The following is a 19,924-nucleotide window of genomic DNA, read 5'->3' as shown; positions in this document are numbered from 1 at the left end:
GGAATGTGACAGTTTCTACCTGCAGTTGTCTTGGTGATGTTCTGAGTCGCATTTCTCCTTTTGACATTGTTTTCCCATTTCCTAATTGTAAACACCTCTATTATCAGTATATTTGGGACATCAATTAATGTCAGGATACACAGATCTCATTTAAAAGTAGTGTAGTATTCCACTGTACTTATTCACACAGTAGCTTGTTGGTGGCACAGTGTAGCATTCCTCGAACTTTTTTTCTCAGGATACCTTTAGACTTTTTTTTGTTTTGTTTTCATTTTTATATTTTATTTTGTTTTTTTCACACAGGGTCTCGCTCTGTCGCCCAGGCTGGAGTGCAGTGGTGTGATCAGAGCTCACTGCAGCCTCAACCTCCTGGCCTCAAGCAATCCTCCTACCCCAGCCTCCCAAGCGGCTGGAACTATGGGCCTGTACCACCATGCCTGGCAAATTTTTATTTTTTGTAGAGATAGAGGTCTCAGCTGGGCGTGGTGGCTCACATCTGTAATCCCAGCACTTTGGGAGGCCAGGGCGGGGGCAGATCATGAGATCAAGAGATCAAGACCATCCTGGCCAACATGGTGAAACCCTGTCTCTACTAAAAATAAAAATAAAAAAATTAGCCAGGCTTCTTTTTTTTTTTTTTTTTGAGTTGGAGTCTCACTCTGTCGCCCAGGCTGGATGGAGTGCAGTGGTGCCATCTCGGCTCACTGCAAGCTCCGCCTCCCGGGTTCATGCAATTCTCCTGCCTCAGCCTCCCGAGTGGCTGGGACTACAGGCGCCCACCACCACGCCTGGCTAATTTTTTGTATTTTTAGTAGAGACGGGGTTTCACCGTGTTAGCCAGGATGGTCTCGATCTCCTGACCTCGTGATCCACCTGCCTCTGCCTCCCAAAGTGCTGGGATTACAAGCGTGAGCCACTGCGCCCAGCCAAAAAAATTAGCCAGGCTTAAGTGATCCTCCCATAGCAGACTCCCAAGTACCTGGGGTCATTGGCGCGTGCCACCACGCCCAGCTAGATACCTTTATACTCTTAAATTGAGGATTCCCCAGATGTTTATTTGGATTGTATTTATCAATATTTACCATATTAGAAATTAAAACAGACTTTAGGAAAAAAATCACTTAAAAATAATGTTCTAACTTAGCATGTTAACAAAATATCATTAAGAAAAAATAACTTTTCTAAAATAAGAGTTTAATGAGAAGAGTGTCTTTTTTTTTTTTTCTTTGAGACAGAGTCTCACTGTCAATTAGGCTGGAGTGCAGTGGCACAATCTTGGCTTACTGCAACCTCTGCCTCCCAGGTTCAAGCAATTCTCCTGCTTCAGCCTCCCTAGTAGCTGGAATTACAGGCATGCACCACCACACCCAGCTAATTTTTATATTTTTAGTAGAGACGGGGTTTCACCATGTTGGCCAGGCTGATCTCGAATTCCTGACATCAAGTGATTCGCCTACCTTGGCCTCCTGAAGTGCTGTGATTACAGGCATGAGCCACCATGCCTGGCCTACTTTTACAAATTGCAACATCTGGCCTAATTTTTAAAAAACCAGAAAGATTCTCATCTGCTTCTGCATTCAGTCTTTGGCAGTATCAGTGTAGACTCTGAGAGAATTAATGGTGGAAAAGGCATGTAACCTTGTAGTATCATTTTGAAAATAATCTTGACTTTGCAGGCCCCATAGTGTCCTCAGATCACATTTTGAGAACAGCTGGTATAGATTGTTTTTAGTTTGTTGCCATTACAGACTCTCCTAATGAAATCTTTATCCATATACCTTGGCACTTATCTGAGGGTGTAGGGTAATTTCCTAGAAGAATAGTTGGCCCAAAGAGTAGTATGTGTTTAAAAGTTGGGTAGGTGAAGATGATTCAATTTTCAGTCTTGGTACTGGTAAATGAGTATTAAGGACACCTTATTTTTTTGAGAAAGTCCAAGTGCACATATCAATTAGTAGACATTAGAACTTGTTAGGAATGATAGATTCCACAGTGGCAGATCTAATTGTACTGATGCATTCCACTTAGCTTGAGCACTCTCTTGATTTTCATTTTTCTCTGTGTTTCCTTTCTCATTCTTTCTCAAGTCTCAATATTGGAGTTTTCTTGAATTGGAGTGTAGGATTTCCTTTCCTTGGTCTTTGTGACAATGTCTTTCTCAGATGTGTGGGAAAAGGTATCGTGTGTGTGTGTGTGTGTGTGTGTGTGTGTGTGTGTGTAAATAAAAGATTCCTCTTGGGAGATAAGGGCATCTGTTTCATTGGAGAGGATAGATGTGTTTCTCAAATGAGTTGGGGTGAATGGGGTCTGTCTTGAGTGTGTGCTTCAGTTATTGAGTTCCACTAGACATAACTGTTATCAGAAACATGTTGCTCTTAGTTAGAACCTTCTCTGCCTCCCTCTTAATGTTGCTGAGGTCTCCTGCTAAGGATCATCATTTCTCGCCTGTCATCTCTGCTACCATGTTATTTAATAAATTCCTCTCCTAAAGTTGAGCTCTATATCCCCATCCATACCCATACCTTAGTAGGATAGAATTACTGTGCCTAATACTGTAGCTATAGCAACAAAATACAAACAAACTTGTTGGGGGTAAGGATTGTGTTAATTGATATTAACACTGAACTGGATCTGTTATAGTTGATTGGTTTAGTGTTTATAACTTGGCTCAATAAAACCTATTAGGTGATGGAGGGAAACCCAATAGACTAGGAATAAACCTAGTATTGTGTCTTTTATTTATTGTCTTACTGAGCCCTCAAGTTGAAAGACTTTCCGGTGTTCTAGCCTCTATAGCCTACTTATCTCTTTGGGAATATGGTATTGGGGATGAGAGCTGGACTTCCTAGACCAAAACTGTGATATGGCTGAAAAGAGAGTTTCAGGGGATACTTCCCTCTAATATCCTGAATAGACCAGAAAAACATTTCCCAACACTAGAAGCTTCTAGTGTGTCCTGTTTTAGCCAGAACTTTGGAAGGGAGTACGTCAAACCTTTTTTTCCCTCTTTCTTATTATCCTGATCCTGTAAACACTACTAAGAGAGTTTTGAAGAAAATGTAAAAGAGACTGGTACTTGAGAAATAATTGCTATTAGGGATTAGGTGGCTGACAATGTCATACCACTGCACTGCCGTGTTTTTTGTTTTAGTGACTGTAAAAATCAGGCGTGTGTTTCTTGAAAGCACAACTTGAATAACAACCTCAATCCCCTGTGCTATGTGTTTCTGACTTCTTAAACTTAAAAAAACTTTTGAATTGCAGTATAATACATCAAAAAGGTACACAAATCATAAGTATTCAATTTGATGAATTTTCAAAAAATAACCAGCACACCATTGAAAAAACAACATAACCACTACTCTGGAAGCCTACTTCAGGTTCCTCCCCAGTCACTATCCTACCCAGAGAAAACTGCTAGCCTAATGATAGGTTAATTTTGCCACTTTGTGAGCTTTGTGTAAATTGAATTCTATGGTTTATACCTTTGTCTCAGCTGTCTTTTACTCAGGTTTGTAAAATATCTGTTGTGTTTACTCTTTGATTCATATATTAACATTGTTCGTGGTATCCATTGTATGAATATTTATACTTTACAGTTTACCTTTTTGTGTGTGTGTGTGTGTTTTGTTTTGTTTTTTTGAGACTGGGTCTTGCTCTGTTGCCTAGGCTGGAGTGCAGTGGCATGATCTTGGCTCACTGCAACCTGCATTTCCAAGGCTTAGGCAATCCTCCCACCTCTGCCTCCTGAGCAGCTAGGACTACAGGCGTGCGCTGCCACACTTGGCTAATTTTTAAAATTTTTTTATAGAGACAAGGTCTCACTATATTGCCTAGGCTGCACTCCACCTGTTTTTTGTTTTTTTTTTAACAGTATTTACATACTATATAATTCACCAATTCAAAATGTACAATTCATTGTTTTTTAGTATAATCACAGGTTTGCAACCATCACCACAATCTAATTTTAGAACATTTTGTCTCCTCTGAAAAAAATCATGTGCCCATTAGCAATCACTACCCACTTTCACTTCCTCCCAGCCCTAAACAACCACTAATCTATTTTCTGTCTCTAAATTTACCTATCTGGACTGGGAATGTGCCTGTAGTCCCAGCTACTCAGGTGGCTGAGGCAGGAGAATTGCTTGAACCCAGGAGGCAGAGGCTGCAGTGAGCTCAGATCACGCCACTGCACTCCAGCCTGGGCGACAGAGAGACTGTCTAAAAAAAAACATACACACACACACACACACACACATTATGTATCTGGACATGTGGTATTTTATGATGGGCTTCTTTAATTTCATATGTTTTCAAGGTTTATACATATTGTAATGTGTTAGGTTTTCATTACTCTGTGTAGCTGAGTATATGCCACATTGAATTTATCTGTTCATTTTTTGCTGTTGTAAATAACCTTGCTGTGAATATAAATGTACAAGTTTTTGTCTGGGCATGTATTCATTTCTCTTGGATATATACCGAGAAGGGAAATTGCAAGGTAACTGCTTAACTTTTGAAGGAACTGCCAAACTTTTCCAAAATTGATGCCTCATTTTATATTCCCAGAAGCAATGTATGAAGCTTCCCATTTCTCTACAGCCTTGTCACCGCTTGTTATTGTCTTGTCTTTGATTGTAGACATTCTAGTGGGTACTAAATGGTATCTCATTTGTGGTTTTGGTTTTTGTTTTCATTTGAGACAGAGTCTCTGTCGTCCAGGCTGGGGTGCAGTGGTGCAATCCTGGCTCACTGCAACCTCCACCTCCCAGGTTAAAGTGATTCTCCTGCCTCAGCCTCCTGAGTAGCTGGGTTTAAAGACATGCACAACGATGCCCAGCTAATTTTTTGTGTGTCTTTAGTAGAGATGGGGTTTCACCATTTTGGCCAGGCTGGTCTCGAACTCCTGACCTCAAGTGATCCACCTGCCTCAGCCTCCCAAAGTGCTGGTATTATAGGCGTGAGCCACCGTGCCTGGCCCTTATTTGTGGGTTTGATTTGCATTTCCTTAATGACTAATGCTGAGCATCTTCTCATATGCTTACTAGTTTTTTGTATATCCGTTTTGGATAAATTTCTATTCAAATTCATTGCCCACATTTTAATATTGAGTTGTAAGAGTCCTTTATATATTCCGGATACAAGTCCTTTACCAGATATATGCTTTCCAAATCTTTTCTCTCATTCTGTGGGCTTTCTTTTTACTTGATGGTATTGTTTGCAGCACAAACAAATTTTTAATTGTGATGCCCAATTTTTTCTTTTATATAGGTTGTACTTTTGTGCAGTTTTAACTTTTAGAGAAGCGTTTCCTAGTTGGGTCCTATGCCATTAGAGATCTTGCATCTTCTGAAATATAATTTGTTAAAGTAATGCAATTCTTTCACTCTATTTTACTTTTGTAATTTTATGGAGATAGATTGTGTCTGAGAATATGAGTTGTATTTCAAAGTAGGTTTTTGTGTGTCTTTAGTAGAGACGGGGTTTCACCATGTTGGCCAGGCTGGTCTCGAACTGCTGACCTCAAGTGACCCACCTGCCTGCCGAGGCGGGCAGATTATCTGAGGTTGGGAATTCAAGACCAGCCTGACCAACATGGAGAAACCCTGTCTCTACTAAAAATACAAAATTAGCCAGGCATGGTGGCACATGCCCAGCTACTCAGGAGGCTGAGGCAGGACAATCACTTGAACCCAGGAGGCAGAGGTTGTGGTGAGCCGGGATTGCACCATTACATTCCAGCCTGGGCAACAAGAGTGAAACTCCGTCTCAAAAAAAAAAAAAAAAGTAATATTGATCCATAATGTACTTTATATACTTTATGATTTCCGTGGAGAATAATAGAATGCAATTTTTATTCTAGTAATTAAAATAATGAAAGACTACAAAGATAGTTGGAGATTTTTATACCTTTTTTAAATTTTATATTAAAAATATATAGTATGGGGTCTCACCATCCTATATATGAGACCAGGCTAGCCTCAAGCAATCCTCCCATCTCGACCTCCCAAAGTGCTGGGATTACAGGCATGAGCCACTGCACCTTGCCTTTGTTTTTTGAGACAGGATCTCTTATCACCCAGTCTAGAACCCAGTCTAGAGTGTAGTGGCGCAATCATGGCTCACTGTAGTCTTGAGATTCTGGGCTCAGGAGATCCTCCTGCCTGTCTCTTGAGTAGCTAGAATTATAGGCATGCCCTACCTCATCCAGCTAATTTATTTTTTCTTTCTTTTTCTTTTTTTTTTTTGAGGCAGAGTCTCTGTTGACCAGGCTGGATTGCAGTGATGCAATCTCAGCTCACAGCAACCATGCCCGGCTAATTTTTGTATTTTTAGTACAGATGGGGTTTAACCATGTTGGCCAGGCTGGTCTCAAACTCCTGACCTCAAGCGATCTGCCCACCTCAGCCTTCCAAAATGCTGGGATTACAGGCGTGAGCCACCACGCCCAGCCTACTTTTTCTTATTTTTATTTTATTTTATTGTTATTTTATGTTTGCAGAGGCAAGGTCCTGCTTTATTGGCCAAATTGTTCTCAAACTCCTGGCCTCAGGCGATCCTCCCACCTCAGCTTCCCAAAGTGCTGGGTTATAGGTGTGAGCCACCGCACCTGGCCACCTGCTGCTTTTTCTTGTTATGAATGTATCACTAGCACAGCTCTTAATAACCAAAATAAAATCCTGAAAATTGAGCGTAAAGAGAATTGAAGGGGCACTGGAAAATGTGTTTTGATTAATCTGGCAAAAGTTGGATAAAGAGGAAGAAGATTAAAACAGTATTTTCTCCAAAATGTGAGAATGCTTATCTGAGCGTCCTAAGCCAAAACCAGTTTTTGTAAAGAAAAAAAGCCCAAAGAAATGGGGTTTGTGGGGAATACAGGTGGGAAAAAATAATATGGTGAATGTTTAGTTACCTTAAGCACTCAAAGGATAAGAAAGAGATTTTGGATTAATTAGGTCACCTGTCCTAGACATAGTTGGGAGGGTTGGTGTGAAGTGGAAAGCTGTTCATGTGCATAAGACATATACAAATTGAGTTATCATAACTTGGTTAATTTACTGTGTTCGGTATTACTTGGTACTGTTCTGAGCACACAGTAGTGAATGGTCATTAAATCATTAATACTGGACAGCATTCATAAAACAAATGAACTTTGATGTAAAAGCAAACTAAATTTGGAAATGTTAAGAGCACTCTTAGCCATCTAACCACTATTTGGAATGGGTAAAGCAATTGTTAAGTGTAATAGAAGAAATGAAAGCTCCGTATGAGAGACAGTTGCAGAGAAAACTGCTTTTTCTCAAATATTTTGGGCCAGAGTTTGTCTTCAGGTAGTACTTGCAGGTATAAACTAGAACTGGTTGATAAGAGGAGAGGGGTATGGGAAGTCATACAATATATAAGAGATTTTAACCCAGATCATCTGACTTCACACTGTGTTGTTTAATTACCTTCTGCTGTCCATAAATTAGTAGATTTCTATTGTTACCCAGTCCTTACTCGTCAGATTATCATGTCTTTACTGCTAAAAGTAAGCACGTATATAAAACATTTATTGGCTGGGTGCAGTGGCTCATGCCTGTAGTCCCAGCACTTTGGGAGGCCAAGATGGGTAGATTGTTTGAGCCCAGAGACCAGCCTGGGCAATAAAGGGAGACCCCGTCTGTACAAAAAGTAAAAAAATTAACCAAGCATGGTAGCTGGCACCTGTCCCAACTACCCAGAAGGTGGAGGTTGCAGTCAGTGAGCTGAGATCGCACAACTGCAACAGAGCTGAGACCCTATCTCAGAAAAACATTTCTTAGGTTACAAGTTACTGTAATTAAACTTACCTTGTTTTAAAAATAATTTTTCTAGGCCAGGCGTGGTGGCTCACGCCTGTAATCCCAGCACTTTGGGAGGCCAAGGCTGGTGGATCACGAGGTCAAGAGATTGAGACCATCCTGGCCAACATGGTGAAACACCATCTCTACTAAAAATACAAAATTATCTGGGCGTGGTGGCACATGCCTGTACTCCCAGCTTCTCAGGAGGCTGAGGCAGGAGAATCGCTTGAACTTGGGAGGCGGAGGTTGCAGTGAGCCGAGATCGCGCCACTGCACTCCAGCCTGGCAACAGAGTGAGACTCTGTCCCCAATAATAATAATTTTTCTGTAACTGAAGTTGAGTTTGCATCAAATGTTCAGAAAAGGAAATATGGTCGGGCACAGTGGCTTGCACCTGCAATCCCAGCACTTTGGGAGGAGGGGGCAGTGGGAGGATCACTTGAGCCCAGGAGTTGGAGACCAGCCTGGGCAACATAGCGAGACTCTATCTCTACAAAAAGTGAAAAAATATTTAAAAATATTTTTTGAGGCCAGGCGCAGTGGCTCACGGGTGTAATGCCAGCACCTTGGGAGGCCGAGGCTGGTGGATCACCTGAGGTCAGGAGTTTGAGACCAGCCTGACCAACATGGTGAAACCCCGTCTCTACTAAAAATACAAAACATTAGCCTGGTGTGGTGGCACACACCTGTAATCCCAGCTCCTTGGGAGGCTGAGGCAGGAGAATCTCTTGAGCCTGGGAGGCGGAGGTTGCAGTGAGCTGAGGATCGTGCCAGTGCACTCCAGTCTGGGCGACAGAGAGAAGCCCTGTCTCATTAAAAAAAAAAAAAAAAAAATTATTATTATTTTTTTTAAGGAAATATGTGTGTATGTAAGGGAATATAATTTTGCTGTTTTACAGTAACATAATGGAATGTCTTTTTCTGTTTCCTAGGTTCTCTACTTTTAGAGTCGAAAATAAATCCTAACACTGCATACCAGAAACAACAGGTAAAATTTTGAAGATGTGTTTTATCTTGCATATTTTCCTTTTGAGTAAATGAAAGTTTATTATCTGATTGCTTATAGTGAAAAATTTAGAAGAGATTACAACAGTTTGGCAGTGAAATTCTAAAATAGGATTTCTGCCAATTCCTATAGTGTTTAATACAATAATTTTAAATTTAAAAAGCTTGCCACAAGTTAAAATGGAGTTTGTGTTCCACCTACTATAGCAACTGAGCCCTAAAATTTCCTTGTTTTTACCTAAAAAAAAAAGGTGACCATTGATGTGATAAGCTGCTACAAACACAGTTAAATGGTGAAAATTCCTGTTGTAGATGATAGTGCAGAAGGAACATTAGTATCTCCCTCTACAGCAGTACTGTGTAGATAGGAATCTGTCATATGAATCTGATTTCTTTTACAGATTCCTGAATAGGGTCTTATTATGATACTACAGTTTTGAAGGTAACTGTACTTCACAGTACAGTGTACTCAAAATACACTTTCTTAAACCTTTCTAATATGCAAAAAAATATTAGAAAGTAAATCTTTCACTTAGTATCAACTAGTGCTGTTATTAAATGGTATTCATTCAGTACACACGCGCGTGCGCTTCACGTACACCCACACAGACACACAGGATGAGTGCTCTATATAGCCAATGAAGTCAAGATCAGTTCCCTCATTGCCCAGAAGATGCAGATACAAAATAGTTAATTGAGAAGAAAGAAGATTACCAGCTTGTTCATAAAGTGCTTTGCTTCATCATTGATCTTTAAAATACTAGAAAGAAGTTAGTATTGTTTTTATTTTTCCCATTGGGTGATGCGTAAAGGTCGTGACTTGTTTGACCACACAAATAGTGGTTAGGAATGCTGGTGTCAACTCCTAAATATATTTAGTCGTGATTTATTTGTCCACCAAACATTCATACAGTATATTTTCTTGATAGTTTGATAGTCTGATAGAATACTGTATTGCATTTAGTGTTCTTAAGAAAACTTAAGTTTAATGGAAAAATCTAGAGCCTGGAATATTTGGCTTTGGTCTTCCATACTTAAATACATTAAATACATGTTTTGAAGTTGTATTCAGCTGAAGAGTAAAAGCACATCTTAAGAAAAAGGAAAGATTGAAACTGTTTTGAGAATGAATGAACAGATTCATGTGTCTCAGCCTATAGGTTTTTGGGTGATAAGCAAGATAATTTGGGGAAAAGTTGCTGTAATATTTGGAATCTTCAAGGAAAACAGAAAAGCAGTTTCTAAAATTTTATAAACTTGCTAGATTTGTCAAATGGGTAATTAAGAGCATATGTCTGGCTATACCCTGACTTAAGCATCAGCCACAAAGTGATTCTGAATATACGTTATAGCAGAATGTGTTATTGGCTTTACACTTATCCTAGTAGCCTTTAATAAGGCTGATAATTGTAAGTATTTATCAGAATTTTAGGAGCCATCTAATTTGGGCAGGTTGTTCCTTTCACCCCCAAGATGATTGTTATTTTCTGCCAACTTTGTTTTCATCACTAAGAAGTAGTACCAGCCAGGCGTGGTGGCTCACACCTGTAATCCCAGCACTTTGGGAGGCCGAGGCAGGCGGATCATGAGGTCAGGAGATCGAGACCATCCTGGCTAACACGGTGAAACCCCGTCTCTACTAAATATACAAAAAATAAGCTGGGCGTGGTGGCGGGTACCTGCAGTCCCAGCTACTCAGGAGGCTGAGGCAGGAAAATGGCGTGAACCTGGGAGGTGGAGCTTGCAGTGAGCCGAGATTGCGCCACTGCACTCCAGCCTGGGCGACAGAGCGAGACTCCATCTCAAAAAAAAAAAAAAAAAAGTGGTATCTATATTATGACTAGTTTTCATAACAGTATATATCTTTCCCATCCTAATGATGAGGAAACTGAGGCTCAGAGAGGTTACCTCACTTTCTAAGCATTACCTGCCACATAGATGGTGGTATTAGAATTTATACCGTGGCCTCTTTACCTCTTAAATTTCTTAGTATTTTCATTCCATGCTATTTTGAGGGAAAATAACATAACTTTAATTTTGTCTTATCTGGAGCCTTATAATAAGTGCTCAGTATTTACTGAGCAGATAACCTTGTAAAGTATTTAGGCTGCCAGAATTATAGATTAACTGCAAATTCTTCTACCATTTGTTCTGTTCTGGTGAATTATAAAGGTAAACTAAAAATGAAACCTTACCAATTTTTGGCATGTTGATCTTAGAATGTTAATAGTTTTGAGCTTGAATTGCCACTCAGTCTGGATCAGATTGCCTGCCTGGTGTCTGTGATATATGGAAGTCCTTTAAGATAGTATAAAAAGTGGAGTTTGAGGTGTTTTCCAAAATTCTGAATAAAAATTATAGACTTAGTAATACTGCACAACCAAATCAGATTCTTATCTGTTTATTTCTGGCTGGCAGCACTTTAGTCCAGTGAGACTACTGGTCTCATGATTGACAGTTATATAAATGACTGAACAGAGTTAATATGCAGTTTGGCAGATAAATTTTTCATTTTTTTTTTTTTTTAGAGATGGGGTCTTGATATGTTGCTCAGGCTGGAGTACAGTGGCTATTATTCACAGGTGTGATCATAGTGCACTGCAGCGTCCAACTCCTGGCCTCAAGCAATCCTCCCTCCTCAGCCCCGTAACTAGCTGGGACTACAGGGATACACCATTGTGCCTTGCTTAGACACATTTTTAAACATGGAATCCATTTGTGTTACATTAAGAAGTGTTCTTGGCTGGGGTTGGTGGCTCACGCCTATAATTCTAGCACTTCTAGAGCCCAGGAGTTTGAGACCAGCCTGGGCAACATGGCATAACTCCGCCTCTACAAAAAATACAAACATTGGGCATGGTGGCACATGCCTGTAGTTCCAGCTACTTGGGAGGCTGAGGTGGAAGGACCACCTGAGCCCAGGGAAGTAGAGGCTGCAGTGAGCCTTGATGGCACCACTACATTGCAGTATGAGTGATAGAGACACCATCTCAAAAAACAAACAAACAAAAAAAAACAGAAGTGTCCTTGCCTAGTGAGAAAGATTAGAAACTGCTGCAATAGAATCATAGGTCCTTAAAGGTACCTTAAGCTAGTCATCTTTCCTTCTCAATACAGGAACCATTATCATCCTGATGGATACCCAGTCGGCCTTTGCATGGCTGTTTTTGGTTACTTGCTAGTCAGATTGAATTATTTTTTTCTTTATACCATATTCAAATCCATCTAACTTTACTCTTCTAAATTCTCTTTGTACCAGCTTGAAAAAACACTTGAGTGACATAGCCCTTCAGATTTTGAAGTTAGCCATTAAATGTAACTCTCCCTAGTACCATTCAGTATTTCTTGTATGAGATGATTTATAGATTGCTCTCAATGAGAGGATCCTTTTTTGAAATGGTTGATTGCTATCAAACAGTATGTATATTTATTTATTGCCAGTAAGATTTGAAAGGATTTTTTTTTTTTTTTTTTTTTTTTGAGACGGACTCTCACTCTGTCACCCAGGCTGGAGTGCAGTGGCACGATCTCGGATCACTGCAACCTCTGCCTCCCGGGTTCAAGTGACTCTCCCACATCAGCCTCCCATGTAGCTGGGATTACAGGCATCCGCCATCATGCCCGGCTAAAATTTTTTTGTATTTTTAGTAGAGACGGGGCTTTACCTGTTGGCCAGGCTGGTCTTGAACTCCTGACCTCAGGTGATCCGCCTGCCTTGGCCTCCCAAAGTGCTGTGATTAGAGGCATGAGCCACCGCACCCTGCCAAAAGGATATATTAGGCCTTATAAATATTTTGACTCTCTATTTTTTTTTTTTTTTTTTTGGAGACAGAGTTTTGCTCCTGTTGCCCAGGCTGGAGTGCAGTGGGGCAGTCTCAGCTCACTGCAACCTCCGCCTCCTGGGTTCAAGCAGTTCTCCTGCCTCAGTCTCCCGAGTGGCTGGGATTACAGGCACATGCCCGGCTAATTTTTGTATTTTTAGTAGAGATGGGGTTTCACCGTGTTAGCCAGGCTGACCTCAAACTCCTGACCTCCGCCCACCTCAGCCTCCCAAAGTGCTGGGATTACAGGCGTGAGCCACCACGCCCAGCCAAATATTTTTATTATACCATGCATATTGTAGAATATATGCTCTTGGTACTATGAGGAATATAAAATGGTCTCAGTAAGTATTGTATGTGCAGTGTCTTGCTGAGATTACATCTTAATAAAAACTGTTGAACTGTTCATTAAATTTTCATTAAAGTTCTGTCTAGATGGCCAGGCACTGTGGCTCATGCCTGTAATCCCAGTGCTTTGGGAGGCCAAGGCGGGAGGGCCCAAGGCCAGGAGTTCAAGACCAGCCTAGGCAACATGACAAGACCTCCATCTCTACAAAAAATGAAACTAAGAAGTTCTGAATAGGAATGAAAGGGTGGTAGGTGCTAGGAGTTTGCTGCTTCTTGAACCATAGCACTTTGCTAAGTTTAAAAAAAAAAACAAAAAAACCTATGTATAGGTAAATGCTCACGTACTACAAATGTAGCCAATAATTTCAAGGGCTTCATGGACCTCAGAGGCCCCTGGTGAAAAACACCTGCTGACAATAGAGGGAAGAGAGAAGGAGTTTTATTAACCCTATCGTCCTAACATGCCCTAGCTATTTTATGCTTAGATTTCCTCTTTGGACATTTTAATGACAGCATAAAATGTAAGTCAGTATGCTCGGATAGCGTTGGTATAATTGGTATAATGTTTTGTTTTTATCTTTTGCAATGCATGAAAAGAATATATTTCATATATTGGTTTAAGTTGTCCTTAAGGAAACATTATTTTTGTTTTATAGATTGGGGGAAGTGAAGTGTAAAAAGTCATTGTTTTGAAAAAGAAAGACATTGATAATTGCCAGTATTAGTGTTGCAAAAAGTAAAAATGAGCACAGTTTTATTTCCTTTTGTTTGTTCATTTTCGTTTGTGATAGTGTATGTTAATCATTCAGACTCCTTTTATGTCTCCAAAGGACACTCTGATTGTGTGGTCTGAAGCAGAAAATTATGACTTGGCCCTTAGCTTTCAAGAAAAAGCTGGATGTGATGAAATTTGGGAGAAAATATGTCAGGTAATTTTTTAAATAAAAAAATCAACATGCTTTCTTTAAGTGTTTAGTTTTTTGCCATGCTTTCAACTAATGCCCAAGAGTTTAAATAAATTTCAAATTGATCTTTTAAATTCACTGCTGTCTTTGAACTTGATTTAAAGGAAGGTGTAATTTATTGACACTAAACTCTCTAGCTCATACCTTTGCTGAACTCCAGTGTTTTATATCCACCTGCCTTTTTGAAACTTTCTCTTTTCATGTTCACTAGCATCTCAAATTTAGTACTCCAAAACCAAACATAATCTTCTCACATATATCTATCCCATCTCCTTCTAAGTGCCATGCAGTTGCTGAAATCAGAAACTTGTGGATCTTGTTTATCCTTCCATCATCGCTTTTATCCATTCAGTCCCTCGATAATAAATCTAGATCCATTGGCTTATCTTCATTTTTACTTTTGTAGTTTTCCAAGCCACCATCATTTCTTGCCTGGTTTATTGGTTTTGTCTTGACTGATCTTCCTAAATCAACATTTTAGCTAGAGCAATTAGGTGATCTTTTTAAAAATGCAAGTCTGATTACATCACTCTTTGTTCATAACTTCTTGTGGCTTTTGAAAGAAAACCCACCCTTGTACTTGTCTTGAGCAGTATGGCTGTTGACTGACTATTCAGCCTTACCGTGCCTCTAGGCTCGAATGTTCTTAATTTATTCTGGAGTTTCCCTAGTGACATAATCACAATCTTTTGTGAATTTGCATTTGTATGTGCTCTAGTAGCTAATGCTGTTGGCTCTTGTTATACACTTCTTAGGCCATTTCTTTCTAGAGAAGGTTTCTCCATCTCCATGTTTACTTTATCTAGAGAATAATCTTCACCAGATTCCTTAATTCCTTTGAATGTGGCCCTCAAACCAGCAGCACAAGCATGACCTGGGAACTGATAGAAATGCAAATTCTGAGACTAGCACCCCTCCCGCCGACCCCAGACCTACTGGATCAAAAACTGCAAGTAGGGTCCAATAATTGTTTTTTAAAATCCTTTCTTAGGAATTCTGTTTTCACAAGCCCTATAGGCCAGACTTTTCTCTGTAAAAAACAAGATAGTAAATATTTAAGGCTTTGCAGGCCATATAGTCTCTGTCACAGCTAGGTCACCTCTGCTGTTCTAGTTCGGAAGTAGTCATAGACAGCACATAAATGAATGGAGGGGCTGTCTTCTAGTAAAACTTTTATTTACAAAAACAGGTGGCAGACCAAATTTGGCTATGGTTTGTCGCCCCCTGCTTTTGGTGATTCTGATGCACCCTAAAGTTTGACAGCTATAGCATTCATAGAAGATATAGTGTCCTTAGCACAGTTTTTCCTTGACTTAATGGAATTTATTTCAAGAATATATTCTACTTCGCTGTGCTTTTCATAAATTAACCTGTCTGTTAAGCTGTCCCTTTCCTTCTCTGAAACATGAAAGGACTAACATTTATATCTGAATACCATCCATCTTTTTAGTTTTTCTTTGCTTTCCATCCAACAATTATATTTATAGCATATGTCTCTAGATTTTGTCTTGTAGTGTTATCCCAAAGAGAGAGAGGTGACATTAATGAGTTCAGGCTATGTTAATAGCATCTGTTATTCAGACAAATCTTGTTCTCCTCTCTCATCTTTCTGAATCAAACACTTCCACTCTGGATACAGTCTTCCTTTATGCCAATGTGTAACTCAAACCTGAACTCACTTTGTCATTGTCATGCCTGGCTCTCCTTTAATATTGTCTGATCTTTACCTTTGTTTGGTCTTTAATATCATAAAGTTTTTCATCATCTTAATAATTTTATCACTAGCTGCTTTAATATTCTTTTCTGATACTCCCTTTCAACTTTTATATAGTTTATGTTCAAGGTGTCATTTCTCAGTCACTCTTTTTATGGGTTCTGTCTGAACTTCTCAATCATTTTCTAGATCCAAGAAAGTCATTACATTTTGCTCTCTGAGATATTAAATGTTTTTCTATTTCTTGAACCATGTTCACCAATTTGCTCAACTCAAAAAGATGGCATTCTTAATATAATAAGGGCACTCCTCTCTTTTCATTTGGTTTGCTAATCAAAATCTAACATTTTTCTGTGGATAAAGTCATAGTTTGGGTATCAGGAACTTAAAACTATAATGAGAGCTTACATAATTAACAAATTCAGAGCCAGTGTGAGACCATGCAGGTACAAGCCATGAATGTGACTTGCCTCCTTTCAGTGCTGCTGTCCACTTGGTTGAGGTCAAGACCATATCACCTTGCAGCACATTTCAAGAAAAGTATTCCAGGTCGTCATCTTTTCTAGTATCTATCAGTGCATCTGTTCATTACGCTAAGCAATTTAAGTTTCTTGGCTTTTCCATATAAGGTCTAATTTTTTTCATTGCTTTACCATTCTACTTGGCCTTCTACTTGCTTTAGTGTTCACTGTCCCAAATTCTAGGGCCAAGATAACAAAATTTGTTTCATTTCAAAGTTTATCCTTGACCTTTTGTTACCAAAAAAAATGCCTTACTTTAAAATGTAGTCAATATAAGTTACCTTTTTATAATAAGAGCCCCTCCAGTGGCATAAAATTAGGTTTTATGACAGATTTTCAGGCTCCTAGAGGGATCATGAAGGCTACAGGTTAGGGTGTGTAGAAAGGAAAATATTTTCGTGGTTTGGTTACTTAACCTTCAGCAGACCTTTTTTGGGAATAACTCTACTACATATAGGTTGTATTTACTTTATATGTGGCTTCATTTTTATGTAGGTACACTTGTATTCTGCCTAGTGTTTTTTAAATCCTGTGTTTGGGCTGTCAGTATTTATAGAAGATCAGTGACTCACTTTGGTCCAAAGCCAGTTTGTTCATGCTCTTTGGCCCTTGGTTTCTACAATCAATTGATGTTAAATATTTTCCTTTTTGCTTATAATTATATATATTTTCTGTGATCATAACATTATGATATTTGGTGTTTATTTGGTCTTCACCTCAGAGTTAAATATTGAAGAGTTTGGTGGTGGCAGTGTCCTTTAGCACAGTCCTAGGACTGTTTCTGAGACTTGCCTTGGTCTGCTGGAAAAGAGGGCCAGGGATATGAGATGTTAGTGGCTGTTTTAGCATCAGGCTTCTATGTTGTGGGTCTGCAGAGGGCTGTTTCGTAACAGTCTCACTTAGTTTAGCCTGTCCTAGAAAGTTGTTCTTGCCAGCAGACCTCATACTTTATAGGGAAGCTCATTCTGTTTTTGAACTTTGACTAACTTCCTTAAAATTGAAAGTATACATATTTGGAGAAATGTAATGTAGAAAAGTAGGCAGTTTTGTCTTGAAAATGACCATTATAGGTTTCTTACAACATTTCTAGTATTCATCTTAGAGTAGCATTTAGGTTTGCTGGTCACCTGTTATCTATTTTGTCAGCAATTAAATTTTTTTTCATAGGTTCAAGGAAAGGACCCTTCCGTGGACATCACTCAGGACCTTGTGGATGAATCTGAAGAGGAGCGTTTTGATGATATGTCATCGCCAGGCTTAGAATTGCCATCTTGTGAATTAAGTCGCCTTGAAGAAATTGCAGAACTTGTGGCATCATCTTTACCTTCACCTCTTCGTCGTGAAAAACTTGCACTGGCACTAGAAAATGAGGGTTATATTAAAAAGCTCCTGGAGCTTTTTCATGTGTGTGAAGATTTGGAAAATATTGAAGGACTGCACCACTTGTATGAAATTATCAAAGGCATCTTTCTCTTGAATCGAACTGCTCTTTTTGAAGTTATGTTCTCTGAAGAATGTATAATGGACGTCATTGGATGTTTAGAATATGATCCTGCTTTATCACAACCACGAAAACACAGGGAATTTCTAACAAAAACAGCCAAGTTTAAAGAAGTGATTCCCATATCAGATCCTGAGCTGAAACAAAAAATTCATCAGACATACAGAGTTCAGTATATACAAGATATGGTTCTACCAACTCCTTCGGTCTTTGAAGAAAACATGTTATCAACACTTCACTCTTTTATCTTTTTCAATAAGGTAGAGATTGTTGGCATGTTGCAGGTGAGTTAGATCATTCCTTTTTTCATATTTCAAGAGATGCAGCGAAAACAATTTGCTCCTTTTAAATACATACATTGAGTTTTAATTTTGTTAATGTATAAAGTTAAGTATTGTGAGTTATTTTAAGAGATTATAATATACAATAATAATACGAGACCAGAAGGTTACTCTATCTGGGGTAGGAGAGGTAAGTGTGACAAATGTAGTTTGAAGAAATGGTATGAGGGGATGATTTTTTGGATACAGGGTCTTGCTCTGTCACCCAGGCTGTAGGGCAATAATGCAGTCTCAGCGACTGCAACCTCCACCTTCGCTTCCCTGGCTGAAACAATCCTCCCACTGCAGCCTCCTGAGTAGCTGGGACCACAGGTGTGCACCACCACCCCCAGCCAATTTTTGTATTTTTTGTAGAGATGGAGTTTGTCATACTGCCCAGGCTGGCCTCAAACCTCTGAGCTCAAGCAATCTGCCTGCCCTGGCCTCCCAAAGTGCTGGGATTACAGGTGTGAGCCACTGGGCCCAGCCTGATTTTTTTTTTTTTAAGTTGAGGTCTTGCTCTGTTGCCCAGGCTGGAGTGCAGTGGCACAGCCATAGCTTATTGCAACCTTGAACTCCTGGGCTTGAGCCGTCCTCCCACCTCAGCCTTCCAATTAGCTAAGACTACAGATGCATGCTACCATAGCCACCTTTTAAAAATTTTTTTGTAAAGAATGGATCTCACTTTGTTGCCCAGGCTGGTCTCAAACTCCTGGCTTCAAGCAATTCTCCCACCTTAGCCTTGCAAAGTGTTGGGATTACAGTTGTGAGCCACCATACTCAACTATAGGAGGATAATATTAATGAAATGGTTGAATGCTGAACTTTGGGGTTATTACTCTATGAATTTTGCATAGAATAGAACAGATTGGAAGAGGAAAGAGTGAAGCACAAAGCCAAGAGAAATGTCACCAAACACAGAATATAAATTCTAATGAGAATTGTGGGCCAGGCGCTATGGCCTGTCTCTACCAAAAAAATAAAATTTAAAACGAATTTGTAAAATTCCCAGATAATGATACGGTAAAAGTCCAGTTTCAGGGTCTAGGGAATGTAGCAGAGGAGGCAAATTATAACTGCATGTATCCCTACCAAAAGCCACGTTTTGCTAAGGGGTGTGCCTGTGGGTGAGTTAAACCCATGTGAATTTGAGTTTCAGCTCCGTCTGTCACTTAATAACAGTAGCTATGTGAGTTGGGCAGCCTTAACTTCTTAAAGCTTCGGTTTCCCCATCTGAAGGATGGTGACATTAATGCCTACCCTGTAAAGTTGTCTGAAAATTAACTGAGGTCAGGCATGTAAAGAAAGTGTTTAATATGATGTAAGATTCATGGGAATTTTTTAAGTGTCTATTGATAATTGCTTATTAAAATGTAGATTTTTTTTTCTTATAGTATGCCCAATCTCTCTGATCTGGTGTTTTAGGGTATTTGCATCACAGTCCCCTAGGGTGCAGTATCATGAATTCTGCACAAAACCTGAGTCAAAGTCTCTGAGAGCTAGACAATAATTTGCGTTTGTAACACCCCCAAAATTAGAAAAGCTCTTACTGTGTCATCCCAGTGTGTGAATTGGTCTATTCTAACTGAAATAGAAGTTTACATAGGCTGGGCCTAGTGGCTTATACCTGTAATCCCACCACTTTGGGAAGCCAAGGCAGGAGGATCGATTGAACCCAGAAGTTAAAGACTAGCCTGGGGCTGGATGCGGTAGCTCACGCCTACAATCCCAGCACTTTGGGAGGCCAAGGCGGGTGGATCACCTGAGGTCAAGAGTTCAAGACCAGCCTGGCCAACATGGCGAAACCCCGTCTCTACTAAAAATACAACAATTAGCTAAACGTGATGGTGGACGCCTGTAATCCCAGACTCGGGAGGCTGAGACGAGAGAATCATTTGAATCT

At 39.7% G+C, this 19,924-nt stretch overlaps 1 protein-coding gene across 11 annotated transcripts in view, besides 3 other annotated features; it reads left to right on the top strand.

The window, feature by feature from the left end:
* PPP4R3A (protein phosphatase 4 regulatory subunit 3A) overlaps window positions 1-19,924 on the top strand; it is a 53,047-nt gene that overhangs the window by 10,994 nt on the left and 22,129 nt on the right. For 10 of the 11 annotated variants that reach the window (NR_169193.1, NR_158976.2, NR_169191.1 and 7 more), the window contains 3 exons: window positions 8,759-8,814; window positions 13,831-13,929; window positions 17,368-17,985. Coding sequence is in view for 7 of the 11 variants with exons in the window: in XM_047431561.1 (XP_047287517.1) it covers window positions 8,759-8,814; window positions 13,831-13,929; window positions 17,368-17,985 (773 nt within the window). In the remaining 4 variants the exon portion in view is untranslated. The remainder of the gene's footprint in view (window positions 1-8,758; window positions 8,815-13,830; window positions 13,930-17,367; window positions 17,986-19,924) is intronic. The other variant, NM_001284281.2, reaches the window with a different exon arrangement.
* Window positions 1,828-1,991: a silencer, noted in NCBI's record as "fragment chr14:91963914-91964077 (GRCh37/hg19 assembly coordinates)". NCBI's record gives its function as "represses an EF-1alpha promoter that drives an FKBP-Casp9 reporter gene in an ReSE screen in K562 erythroleukemia cells {active_cell/tissue: K562}" and the evidence as "EXISTENCE:reporter gene assay evidence [ECO:0000049][PMID:32094911]".
* Window positions 3,862-4,071: an enhancer, noted in NCBI's record as "active region_8923". NCBI's record gives its function as "activates an Ori minimal core promoter by ATAC-STARR-seq in GM12878 lymphoblastoid cells {active_cell/tissue: GM12878}" and the evidence as "EXISTENCE:reporter gene assay evidence [ECO:0000049][PMID:35858748]".
* Window positions 4,553-4,702: an enhancer, noted in NCBI's record as "active region_8922". NCBI's record gives its function as "activates an Ori minimal core promoter by ATAC-STARR-seq in GM12878 lymphoblastoid cells {active_cell/tissue: GM12878}" and the evidence as "EXISTENCE:reporter gene assay evidence [ECO:0000049][PMID:35858748]".

Source organism: Homo sapiens, chromosome 14 (assembly GCF_000001405.40).
Source record: "Homo sapiens chromosome 14, GRCh38.p14 Primary Assembly".
NCBI classification, from domain to species: Eukaryota; Metazoa; Chordata; class Mammalia; order Primates; family Hominidae; genus Homo; species Homo sapiens.
Note: the sequence above shows the minus strand (reverse complement) of the source record. Positions and strands in the feature narration are given on the sequence as shown.